This window comes from Homo sapiens, chromosome 6 (genome assembly GCF_000001405.40).
Source record: "Homo sapiens chromosome 6, GRCh38.p14 Primary Assembly".
Classification (NCBI taxonomy): Eukaryota; Metazoa; Chordata; class Mammalia; order Primates; family Hominidae; genus Homo; species Homo sapiens.
Window position 1 is genome coordinate 147348619 of NC_000006.12, and position 13092 is coordinate 147361710.

Sequence of the window (13092 nt, forward strand, 5' to 3'; positions counted from 1 at the left end):
AAAATACTAAAAGCACACTTCAGAGCTCCTTGGAGTTGGGGGAGTAGTACTGGCATTAATTTCCTCCTATAAAACTCTATCCTAAGGAAATCCAAAATATATGCAAAGATTTATGTACAACATTTTTATTCCTGTGTATACTGAAAAATTGGAAAATGCCTAACTGATTCATAAGTGTTCATATAAATATGCAACCATTAAAATATACTGACAGTTAATGACATTAAGAAATGCTTGTTTTAATAGTGAAAAGCAGCAGGATACTGATTTCTTTATATAGTTGATCTCAACTATGTAAAGAAAAGTGGACTTTTAAAAGTGGTAGGAAATATGCAAAAATGTTGCTTCTGACTATGGGCATTAATACTGACCTTTTTTCTGTTTCTTTATTGTCCAAATTTGCTATGAAAACACATAATTCAAAATAACTCAAAGATAAAAAAGCATATATAACATAAGATACAGTAAGAGAATATAATCTGATATAGCCCTCTGAATCTGTTAATTAAGAGGATACATATTTACATTCATTCTGTGCATTGAAAAAAAAATACAAGCTTTAAAATATTTTCAGGAGGAAGCTAAAAAACATCCTGAGTTTAAGACACCTTACACAAGAGTTGATACTGTGATTTCATCAGTATATTGTTGTAGAACAGGCAAAACTGATCTGTACTTAAAAAGCATTAGAGCCTTGGTTATTCCCGGAAATGGGACAGGGATTGATTAGGAAGAAGCATGCATGTCCTTTTTGGGGTGAGTGGTAATGTTCTTTATCTTGCTCGTTCTAACAGTTTGAGTTACAGAGGTGTATATATTGTCAAAACTCAGTGAATATACTTTAAAATTTCTGCATGTGTATGTAAGTTTTACATCAAAAGAAAATATACTGTTAACCAAAAAAGAAATGTTTGGGGAACATCTTGTTTCGTGAAAATGTACAAAGTCTCTCGCTGGTTTTGTCTCCACATCCCATGGTCTTAGATAAGTGTTCCAGACTGAGATAGGGTATAAATCCCATGTACTCCAGTTGACACCTTGTGCCTACCTTTGTGAGTAGTACATACTACATTTTGGAGTTGTTTCATCTAATGTGAGCTCCTGGGAGGCCAGAAGTATATCCCTGCCCTCTGGCACATTACAGACATATGCCCAGTAGATATTTAATAAATGAATATTCACACCTCCACATGTAACAGGTTTTTCTGTACTCATGGAAGGCCTTAACTCTGTATTTTTAAATATTACTTGATAGCTAGAATTAACACAAGTAACAAAAGTTAATCTTCTAATGTTGTCATTTCAAGTTCTGCATTCAAGGAGATTGCTTAAAATTTTATCCAAATATAATAGCAATATGGCTGAAGTATCTGTCAAAGTTGGTGTCCAGGTTGCGGATATCCACTTGCAAACTGTTTTGGGAGAAAATAATAAATTGACTATATTAAAATTTATATGACATTTATAGTAAAATTACTGTATTCAACAATCTTTCCAGTCATTTTGTGTGTGATTTTAACCTCTCAATAAAAATGTTGAAACTAGACTAACTGAGAATTATTTGGAAAGCTGGTTAGTTATATTTAGTATTTTTTACATAATAAATTTAAAATAGTACTAGAAAAAAACTTTTATTCTATGGGAGAGGTTAACTTAAATTTTTAAGAATACTTGAGCTTATATAAAAATTTTTTAGTAGAAATCCTAAGGAAGATCAAAAGCATGCACCTAGAAAATTCAGAAGGAAATTTTCTGCTGGTAAATTTTTTGGCAGCAATGTATGTATAGATGGTGAATGAAAGCATAAATATGTTAAATAAACGTTCCTAATTGATTAAAATATGTATTTAACGTTTAATGTATTCAGAGATGAATTTGTTACTTTTATCTTATAAATCACTGAAGTTATTACTCTTTGTTTAGCCATATATATTTAGTTTTTGAAATGAACTTAAAAGGTTGAGCTTATTATAGTGGTGCATTGCATTCTATACTTTTGTGCTAAATTTTTTTTATGGTTTTGTTTTAGTTTCTTAGAATTTTGCCATAGAATTAGAATGAAGGAACATTAGGTTATTCGCAAGTATAGTAGTAGCTCATCTGTATAGTGTTTTACATTTTATGACAAGTTTATATCTCACCTTATTATTAACAATAAATAATAACATTTATTAAATCATACTATGTGCCAGGTATTATGCTCAGTTCTTTGCTTATGTCATCTTACATAATCCTCTCAGCTATCTATCCTCATATGACAAATGATGAAACTTGAAGTTTAGAGAGGCAAAGTGATTACTAAGGTTACACATGTAGTAGTTAGTTAAAGTGGGTTTGAACCTAGGTTTCAGCTGATTCCAAACCCTGTCCTAACCACTATACTTATTCTTCCACGTTTATTGAGGCTTGTTCACAAAATGTTTTTGGTGGGCCTAATTATATAGACGTACTGGGATTAATAGTTTTGTCTTGGTTACTACCATGAAGTTGCTTAATGTCTAAGGACCTTGCTACTCAAAAGTGTGGTCCACAGACCAGCAGCATCAGCAGCTCCTGGGAGCTCATTGGAAATGTCTCTTAAGCCCTAGCCCCAGAGGACAGAATCAGGGTGTGGATTTTAACAAGATCTCCATGTGACTGGTGTGCACATTCAAGTTTGAGAAGCAAAGGATTTAAAATAACTTATCAAATCAGAGTAGTGATGTCTAGAGAGGCGGCATCCATATCATATGATTTTTATCTAAAAGAGTTACCTTTAGACTGTGCCAAATTTATTTTCTACATCTGATATCATGCACATTGTATAGATACTACTTATCAGTCTAGGTATATTGCACCTATGATATGTGATGAAAATCTCTGGATTTTTCAATGTGTAATGTTGCCTTTTGGAGGACTGTTTTAGAGATACAATATTTTCTAATTTTAAGGGTATTGGATTTCAAGCACAAGAACAACCATGTATGTGACATCAACTAACTGCAGATGTTATTTGGCCATTTCAGTTTTGTATTGCATTTTCTTTTTTAACTGAAATTTTTTACGTTGGTGAAAATGGGGTGACTTTTATAAATTTAACCCATTCTTGTTTGCTAAAGGATACTAATTAAGTTAATGAAGCTGAGAAGTGAAAATTTGATGTCCCTTCCAACCCCCATTCCTTCCCAGTCTGCCTAATGCCTCTTTCCTAACACTGGATTTGTCATTTTTTTAGATGTGGAAGTCATGTATGACTGGATTTCTCTTTGTTTACATGGCGCCCTTATGGACTAGCAGGGTCTGTGCTTTAAATATCTCCTAACAGTCCAAAATTTAACCTAATATATTCATTCCTGTATTAACAAATGCTTTTTGAAAATTTCACATAGGAAGCACTTTTCTTTTACGCATGCACTACCACTAACATAATAGATATAGTTGAACAACGCCTAACTTTAAATCACTTTCTAGATTAAGACAATAACTGATTTTGAGGATGGAAAGTGGATTCCAGTAAGTTTATACATTCATTCTTTTTCCAAGATTACAGAAAAATGACTGTGGTTTGCATCTTATGTAAATACCGTAGTTTTAGATTATGCATGATCTTATTTTGTTTTTCACTAAAATGTAAATAGAAGAGTTAACTTATATCAAGGAGTGGTTGAGTCAGATATTGTATAATGTAATCAAATACTTAAATTTGATTAGATATAAGTTTGGCCTATAAGCTAGAAATTAAAAAGTAATGAACCCAGCCAGGCACGGTGGGTCACTCCTGTAATCCCAGCACTTCGGGAGGCCGAAGCGAGTGGATCACTTGAGGTCAGGAGTGAAACCCCATCTCCACTAAGAATACAAAAATTAGCTGGCAGTGGTGGCTTGCACGTGTAATCCCAACTACTCAGGAGGCTGAGGCGGGAGAATCCCTTGACCCTGAGAGGCGGAGGCTGCAGTGAACCGAGATCACACCACTGCATTTCAGCCTGGCAACAGAGTGAGAATTCGCCTCAATTTAAAAAAAAGAAGAATGAACCCAGTAGCTATGAAGATGATGAGCTGGAAAGATTTTATATCACATACCCAAACTTAGTCTTAGGCCTCTATTCTCTTTATCTGCAACACCTTTCTTCTGAGAAGTTACTGTTTCTCACTCAGAAAAGCCTCACCCTTTCCTGTGAGCCTAAGAAATAATTAAAAGTTAGAATTTAAAAGGCTCCCTTAAAGTAAAAATTTTAAGTACAAAAAGATATTACATCAAGTAAGTAAAAACTTTTAAAAAGTTGGCCAGGCATGGTGGCTCACGCATGTAATCCCAGCACTTTGGGAGGCCAAGGCAGGAGTTTGAGACCAGCCTGGGTAACATAGTGAGACCCCATCTCTACAAACATCCAGAATAGCCAGGCACAGTGGTTACATGCCTGTAGTTCCAGCTACTTGGGAGGCTGAGGTGGGAGGATCACTTGAGCCCAGATGATTGAGGCTGCAGTGAGCCTTGGTCACACCACTGCACTCAGCCTGGGCGATTGAGTGAGACCCTGTCTCAAAAAATTAGAAAATAAAAAGTTGAAAGGATTTACTTTCCACTCCTAATATTACTCATCTTTTATTTATCTCGGCATCTAGATTTAGTAATAAAAGTATTCACTTCTATCTTGAAAATCAGTTGATATTAGTATGAATCAAATATTCTTCAGAATTTTAAAAATGTCTTTTATTTTTCAGCAAAGATGTCAAGGAAGTTAAGCTTACCTACTGACCTAAAGCCTGATTTAGGTAAGTAAAATAAATATTCAAAATAATTTAACTCCCTATAATGGGAAGACAAGGAAATCAGAAAATTTATAGTTACTGTAAGATAGTCATTGGAAAGCAAGTTTAAAATGACTAAGATGCTTAAGGTTTAAACATTCTTTGGAATAGTCTTTAGAATGCTATCTGTAAATTTAAAATGACAATTATAATACAAATTCAAGCAAACCGCAAGAATATATTTTCTTAGCCCTCTCATAGTTTGTCTGAACAGAACTTAGCATAAGATTGAATTTGTGCAATTTTAGATTAATTTTTATTAAAAGTGGTTGTATCCCATTTAACCATGTGAAAACCTATTTTGAACTTTATAAAATTATTTTTATACTAATGAAATACTTAAAATTTAAAATAGATTAACTTTTTTCTGTATTACAGTGAATCATAGCAAGAATCATCGTTACTAACTTTTTGATTATAATAAGTTGGGAAATATTTCTTCCACAGCACTTTCTGTGCAATTCATTTATTATGAAAGCAGGATGAATATATTCACACATTCATTTTGCTTTATATCTAACCCACGAACAGCACCTTGATATCACATAGGGACAAATGACATTTCAAAAAAGATAAAAGTAAGATTTCATGTAATACATATAAAACATGGTATCTTTTTAAACTCATTTTTTATTTAAGAAATTTCTGTTGCCTTTAACTAAATAGGTATGATTGTGTAAGGATGATTTCACCCACCTCTATCTTAGAGATAACTAGGTTTTCTCCCTTGCATTAGCCCACACCCCTCACCACTGTTTATTCTCTAGATTTCTTGACTATGTTTGCTATGCATCATACAAACTTAGGTGTTGGTCCATTTAAACATACTAATTTTAGCATTTCCAAATCATTATCTTACTTCAGTTATGCTGATAGAAAGCATGTGGTTATGAGTGAGTAGGCATACAATATATTCCACTGTCATTTGTAGAAAGTTTCATTCATAGGAAAAACAACTTAGTAGAACCCTATAATATCCCTAGTATAAGGGAACAAGAGTTAATCATAGAATATAGGATAGTAGACATTTTGAGAAGGTCATAGTTTTCTCCACCAAAAAAAAAAAACAGGTATAATTTGAAAACAAGTATATCTGAGGCACACAGTGTGCATTTTTCCCCTATAGCAGAATCCAGAGTTTTCATCAGACTCTCAGAGGCCCAGGATTTCAATAGCATTAAATATTACTAGTTAAAGTGGCTTTGTGTATTTTAGTTTCTTAAAAATCTGGGTAAACACATGTAAATATACTTTTAAAATTATAAAAAATACCATAGCCAATTATTTTTTAAGGCATACTCACATTTACAAATCATGTAAGTAATTTAATTAAAGTATGTACTCCATGCTTTCATAGATTATTCACTTCATGGTTTAGCTAGCATGCCCATGTATGCCCTAAGCCAATTATAACTTTGACTAATGTATACCTGTAACATTCCTGTGTTGCCTAAGTAATGTCCCTCAAGTTATTTTGTTGTTGAACTGTTACTTGGTAGAGATTCTTGGCTGCTAATTTACATTGGTCAGGGAGGCAATGGGGAATAACTCCAACTATATTGATAGGTTCAAACTGCCAGATGTTGGTAAAGCACTGAGGCCAATGAGCTGTTGTGCAGCTCCAGAAGCTTCTGTGCATAGAATTCATTTTTGCTTATGGGGAAATTGTGCAGCACTGTACTTGCACTATAGCTTCACCATCCTGGATTCTGTAACCCAGAAGTCAGAATCCATGGGTGATTTTGTTACACTTATGATTGTCACATTTCAAATGTCAGCCATAGGAGGCAAACATCAGAACCATTATATACTTTGATATGAATTAGTTTCTTACCCTGATTTTTACCTGAACAGATTCAAATCTTGGCATTATGTTTTGATTTGGGAATATAAAAGTTTGTTGAATAAGGCTCTCTGTGGGGAGGAGAAAGTGATACATACAAGTAGCATGTTGTAAGTATACAGACAGTAGCATGAAAACAGTGATTTTATGGCATGATTGTATCAGGTGCAGCTGGATGGAGGCATTAATGACAAATTTTGTCTGAGTTTAGATCAGCTAAAAAGATCACATATTCAAGCACATTTCTGACATCTAAACTAGAACTTTAATTCTCAATAATAACCATAGCGTTCCAGCTGTATGATAGTGATGATATGGCTGTCTGGAGTTGCCTAACAGAAAGTTTTAGACTTGGAGACAGACACAAATTCTGACTCTACCACATACTAGCTTGGTCATTCTGAGCAAGTCACTTAATCTCTCTGAGCCTCTGTTTAATTGTTTGTTAAATTGTGATGATACTACTTTTCAAGGTAGTTATGTAGATTCAATAAAATGATAAATGTAAAGTATTAGTGCCTGGCACATGGTAGGCCTTGCTTAGTGTTAGTTATTTTCACTTCTGCTCTTATTACTAGAGCTACTAAAATTAAACTTTTATTCCATTTATTTACTTTGCCAAACTTGTATAAATAAGCCCACAGAGACCCATAATGCTTAACTTAAAAGGAGTAAGTGGAAGTTGTAATTCATGAATTGCTGAAAATTCTGACTTTTTTTCAAAAGTCTAGGCAGATAATAAAATAAGCAACCTATTTCTATCAGTTTCAAACTTGACTGTTATTCAGGCAGTTCTTCCATTTTGATCTAGCTTTAGAAGTTGCTTTGGTAATCTAATTTTTATAGATAAATTATGTAATAAAAATGCAATTTTAGGTTGTGCATTTTATATAGTATTAGTCTATTAAATTCAAACATTGCTCATTTGACCTATGAGTTAACATTTAAAATATAGGTTGTTGTGAATCACCTCTTGTAATTTTAATAGTTATCAGTAAGAGTTTTTCTACAGGTTAATTTACAATGAAATCTATATTATCTACTTTTTTCATATCATTGTTTTCTATTACTATCACTACATCACAACTGAAAATGTTCATTTGCCTTGTATATGTATGCTTTACAAGTAACAAGTGTATTTATCATTGTAAAATTTTAAAAATGTATTTTGCTAAAATAACTTTGGAAACCATAAAGAGTTAATAAATATTTGTAATTAATATCATTTCAAACTGTATTGAGGTGTTGATTATGGAAAGTTGTTTCATTTATAGTAAGTAGTTCTTTTCTACCGTATCATAATTTGTAAATTATGGAAATGCAATCTCAAGCAAAAGAAAGACATTTTTAGAAACTACAGTTTAAAAAAATGATCCATAGTATTATCATAACTAATAACATTGTTTTCAGAGGCTACCTATAATCAAAGTTATGTTGCATATAGTTATTGGGGATATTTTTAATCTATGAATCTAAATTTGATTGCAAAAAACTTCTTGTAAGGTGTAATTAAGATTTGGCTATACCTTTTTTATTTAATAAAGTACAACTTAGAATTTAACATGTTTTATAGTTTTCACATTTTGAAGAGTCCTTTCTTTCACAATAGCATTGAAAGCATGTGATTTAGGGAGTTATTAGATGTAAGTAGTAGAAGCTACTGAGAATTTTAATAAATCCTAATGGAACAGCAGAAGCGTTGGTTTAGACATTCTCAACTATAAATCTGCCTTCAGCAAGTGTTTATTGAATTCCTTTCACATGCAAGACAGTGTGCGAAATTCCAAAGGATATCAAAACGACACAGTCCTTGCTTTCAAGATACTTGCAGTCACTTTAGAGTGAGGCATGAGAAAAGTCAGAAATAACTACAGAACAAATGTACTCTAAGTGTCATGGGAGAGATACATGGCTATAGGTATGTAGTCAAGAGGGAGAGAAACTATATAGGTTGTAGGAATCAGGAGAAACTTCAGGAAGTTGACAGTAACTGAAGTGGAAAATAAGCAGAATCTTGATAGGTAGGAGAAAAGGCTGATGCAAAGGCACCAATCAGAATACCTCAAGCAAAAGCCTAAAAGTAGGTAAGTGCAGGTTATGTTTGGAGAAAATTGTGTGGCTCTATTTATTTCTCACAATGAACTGAAATAGGGTAGCTTTGGGAGATAAGGCCAGGAGGGTAGATTAAAGATATTTTGTGAAGAGTCTTAAAAACTTGAGTAAGATTATAAGCATGATTAAAAAGGAGCTACTAAGGATTTTTTAGATTGAGGCCACAGAATTATAACTATGCCTTATAAAATTTAATTATGTTGTGTTAGTAGTGAGATGCTGCGGGTGAGGAGATCAGCTGGGAATTGTCTAAGTAAATGGTGAGGAGAACCCGAACTTAGGATAATGGAAGTAGATTACCAATGGAAGGAAGGAAACAAAAATGTGCAATAAAATACCTTAGGGCTTGGCATGCCATCAGATGTATAGGTCAAATGAAAAGGAGAAACCCAAACTGTGGCTCATCTTAAGTGTTTCTCCCTATGAGAACAGAAGTGTCATTAATATAAATAGTGCCATTCGAAGAATTTACTGGTTTGGGGGAAATTATATGGTTTGGTTTTGCATAGTGAGACATAACTGGAAAAAAGTCAAAGAAGTATTTGGAAATGATGTTCCAAGAGAAAAAGGAAAAGGCTAGGGCTTGAGACAAGCTTGGGATTAGCAACAAGGGAAGGTAGCTGAAGATGAGAGACATTTTATTAGTATAATTTTTTAAATGCGCCTGTCATTACAGACAGAGCTGGGTAAAGGAATTTGCCTGGTATCAAGTGTGAGCCAGATGGCAGTTGTACATTTTGGTGAAAATGCCTTAAGTGAATGTGGATTGCAGTTAAAATGGCATTGAAGAAAAGTGGGGAAAAAGCTAAACTTTTATTGATTAAAGGTTTTTATTTGGGCAAATCTGAAAAAAAAAAAGATCCATCATACAGTAAATTAGAAGGTAGTATCAGAGTACTTCTAAATGCATTTTTTAAAGGTAGAAAATGGAAAAGACTCACATTTGTCACACTCTACCAGTCATGGATTGTATTACCAAAGGAAGGCACAGTACCATGAGAAAGAAGGTGCCAAGGGCTAAGCAGCCAGGACCCCAAGGATTGCACATTCAGATATTCATCGGGAGGCACCCGGTTCAGTTCTGAGGAGTGTGGAGTTGTTTGTTTGTATATTAAGAAAAAGGGAAAATTTATTAGCATAAAAGTAAATTGTTTTTGTTTTCAATTGTACTTGACCTTTAAACAATGCAGGTGTTAAGGACAGCAACTCCTCTGCATATAATTTTTGATCTCCAAAAACTTAACTTCTAAAAGCCTACTGTTGACTGAAAGCCTTACCAGTAACATAAACAGTAGATTAACACATATTTTGTATGTTAGATGTGTTATATACTGTATTCATGTAATAAAGTAGGCTAGAGAAAAGAATGTTATTAAGAAAATCATAAGGAAGAGAAAACGTATTTACTATTCCTTAAGTGGAAGTGGATCATCCCAAAGGTGGTTTTTCCATAGAGTAGACTGAAGAGAAAGAGAAAGAGGGAGGGGTTGGTCTTGCTGTCTCAGGGGTAGCAGAGGTGGAGGAAAATCCATGTGTAAGTGGACTTGTGTAGTTCAAACCCATGTTGTTCAAGGATCAACTAAAATGAAGTGAATATTAAATATGACGTAGGTTTTGTCTTCTTGCAGATTAACTATTTGACCAAATTTATATTAAAAAACAACACAAATAACTTCTTTTATAACTTGAGCAATCTCACAACATTTTTAACCATTTCAGATGTAAAGGATAACTCCTTTAGCCGATCACGGAGTTCAAGTGTAACAAGCATTGACAAAGAATCCCGAGAAGCGATCTCCGCTCTTCATTTCTGTGAAACGTTTACTCGAAAGACGGACTCGTCCCCTTCCCCTTGTCTATGGGTTGGAACAACGCTAGGAACAGTGCTTGTCATTGCACTGAACCTTCCCCCAGGGGGAGAGCAAAGACTTCTTCAGCCAGTAATTGTGTCTCCAAGTGGTATGTATTGCTGCTGCACTTAGAGTTACATTACAGGTGTGATTTACTATGATAGAAGCCTTTGTTTTTCATTCTTGAATTGATCTAAGAATTCCAAAATGTAAAGTAAATGGGGACAGTGATGGCCTTATTTATTTATTTTTTTAATTATTATACTTTAAGTTTTAGGGTACATGTGCACAATGTGCAGGTTAGTTACATATGTATACATATGACATGCTGATGCTCTGCACCCACTAACTCGTCATCTAGCATTAGGTATATCTCCCAATGCTATCCCTCCCCCCTCCCCCCACCCCACAACAGTTCCTAGAGTGTGATGTTCCCCTTCCCGTGTCCATGTGTTCTCATTGTTCAGTTCCCACCTATGAGTGAGAATATGTGGTGTTTGGTTTTTTGTTCTTGCGATAGTTTACAGAGAATGATGATTTCCAATTTCATCCATGTCCCTACAAAGGACATGAACTCATCATTTTTTATGGCTGCATAGTATTCCATGGTGTATATGTGCCACATTTTCTTAATCCAGTCTATCATTGTTGGACATTTGGGTTGGTTCCAGCAACCTACTCATCTGACAAAGGGCTAATACCCAGAATCTACAATGAACTCAAACAAATTTACAAGAAAAAAACAAACAACCCCATCAAAAAGTGGGCAAAGGACATCAACAGACACTTCTCAAAGGAAGACATTTATGCAGCCAAAAAACACATGAAAAAATGCTCGCCATCACTGGCCATCAGAGAAATGGAAATCAAAACCACAATGAGATATCATCTCACACCAGTTAGAATGGCAGTCATTAAAAAGTCAGGAAACAACAGGTGCTGGAGAGGATGTGGAGAAATAGGAACACTTTTACACTGTTGGTGGGACTGTAAACTAGTTCAACCATTGTGGAAGTCAGTGTGGCGATTCCTCAGGGATCTAGAACTAGAAATACCATTTGACCCAGCCATCCCATTACTGGGTATATACCCAAAGGACTATAAATCATGCTGCTATAAAGACACATGCACATGTATGTTTATAGCGGCACTATTCACAATAGCAAAGACTTGGAACCAACACAAATGGCCTTATGTTTTAATGAAAGAATACATAGAGCAAGATTTCAGGATGTTGTTTGTTTATACAGCCATTCAATTTTGCCATTTTTTTTTAAACTTTGGGATCTTGTGTAAAATAATTACTATGTAAGAAAATTTTTTTTAAAAGTTACAATAATGCATTCCTAATACCTCAAGCAAAAGAATGCTATAAATTTAGGAGAAAAACAGAAAAGTGCATTTTTAAACATTCTACACATGGTTATTTTTCATCTCCAAGTGTGAAACCTGAGATTATTTTTCTACTTTGAAGTGTTAGGAAAAGGTGACTTGAGAGCAAATTTTAAAAAATAGTACTAGACTTCATATTTTGAAAATGAGATTGGATTTTGTCAAATGTTTGTGGAGTCTGTTAGGTGAGGAGATAACTGAGAATTCTGATTTCTGTTACTACTCATTTATGCCCATCCAGATAGAAACAACCATGATTTTGCTTGTAAATCTATCTCTTGTTTGTGCCGACTTTTACAGTTTTTGGAATTTAGAAGTTAAACTGCATTTATGATTATATTTCTGAGCCATCTTTACATTAAATAATCAGTTTAATTTACTCATTTTGCTCTATAAGTGCTTGAGTATATACTGCACATCAAGTTGTTAGATTAAGGAAAACAGGTTACATAATGATATTCTTACTAATCTCAGTTCTTATTAGTAAATATGTGTATAGGAATAAAATAAACTGGAAAGTTGAAAATCAAAATGTTAACAGGAGTTATCACTGGTAAGTAGGATTTGGGGTTACTTTTATTTTCATTTTTTTACTGATTTGTAGTTTCTAAATTTTCTACAGCAAACATACACCAATTTGTAATAAGAAAAAAATGTTTCCAATAAATGAAAATGACTGAGCGGGATTAAATATAGATAATTTACTGTTAACTACACAAAAAGTATTTAGTATACTTTCCAACTTGCAATAAATCAAATTAGCTGTAAAGTGAATACAAAAATAACTTTCATATGTAAGAAAGAAACTTAGTTTCTTCTCAATGATGGAATCCTTGAGGTTTGTTTTTAATAAGATGCCTATTTAAAAATATATCAGTGACACTCATGTCATCGGTATTGGAGCCCTGAGAAGAAAGAGATGTTTTCAGGCTGATGGGTTTCTGTGCTTCAGAGCCTAAAGTGGTCTACTTTGTCTGCTGTTATTTTTTCTTTTCTTCAAGAGGAAGATTCAACAGTTAACCACGAATCTACTAGGAAACATGCTAAAGTCCCATCAACTATAGGACAAGCATACATTTAACGGTTATTTTAGGCCAGTTTTTT

At 33.8% G+C, this 13092-nt stretch overlaps 1 protein-coding gene across 15 annotated transcripts in view, besides 2 other annotated features; it reads left to right on the top strand.

Annotated features, from left to right (window-relative positions):
• The window catches only part of STXBP5 (syntaxin binding protein 5), a 186057-nt gene that overhangs the window by 144202 nt on the left and 28763 nt on the right, over positions 1-13092 (top strand). For 11 of the 15 annotated variants that reach the window (XR_007059202.1, XR_007059201.1, XR_007059203.1 and 8 more), the window contains 2 exons: positions 4705-4755; positions 10466-10705. Coding sequence is in view for 12 of the 15 variants with exons in the window: in XM_047418197.1 (XP_047274153.1) it covers positions 4705-4755; positions 10466-10705 (291 nt within the window). In the remaining 3 variants the exon portion in view is untranslated. Of the gene's footprint in view, positions 1-3214; positions 3278-4704; positions 4756-10465; positions 10706-13092 lie in introns of those variants that run through there. The other 4 variants (XM_047418202.1, XM_047418204.1, XM_047418203.1 and 1 more) reach the window with 1 other exon arrangement.
• Positions 2201-2401: a silencer, noted in NCBI's record as "peak6199 fragment used in MPRA reporter construct". NCBI's record gives its function as "represses an SCP1 promoter by STARR-seq MPRAs in K562 erythroleukemia cells {active_cell/tissue: K562}" and the evidence as "EXISTENCE:reporter gene assay evidence [ECO:0000049][PMID:32103011]".
• Positions 6281-6481: a silencer, noted in NCBI's record as "peak6200 fragment used in MPRA reporter construct". NCBI's record gives its function as "represses an SCP1 promoter by STARR-seq MPRAs in K562 erythroleukemia cells {active_cell/tissue: K562}" and the evidence as "EXISTENCE:reporter gene assay evidence [ECO:0000049][PMID:32103011]".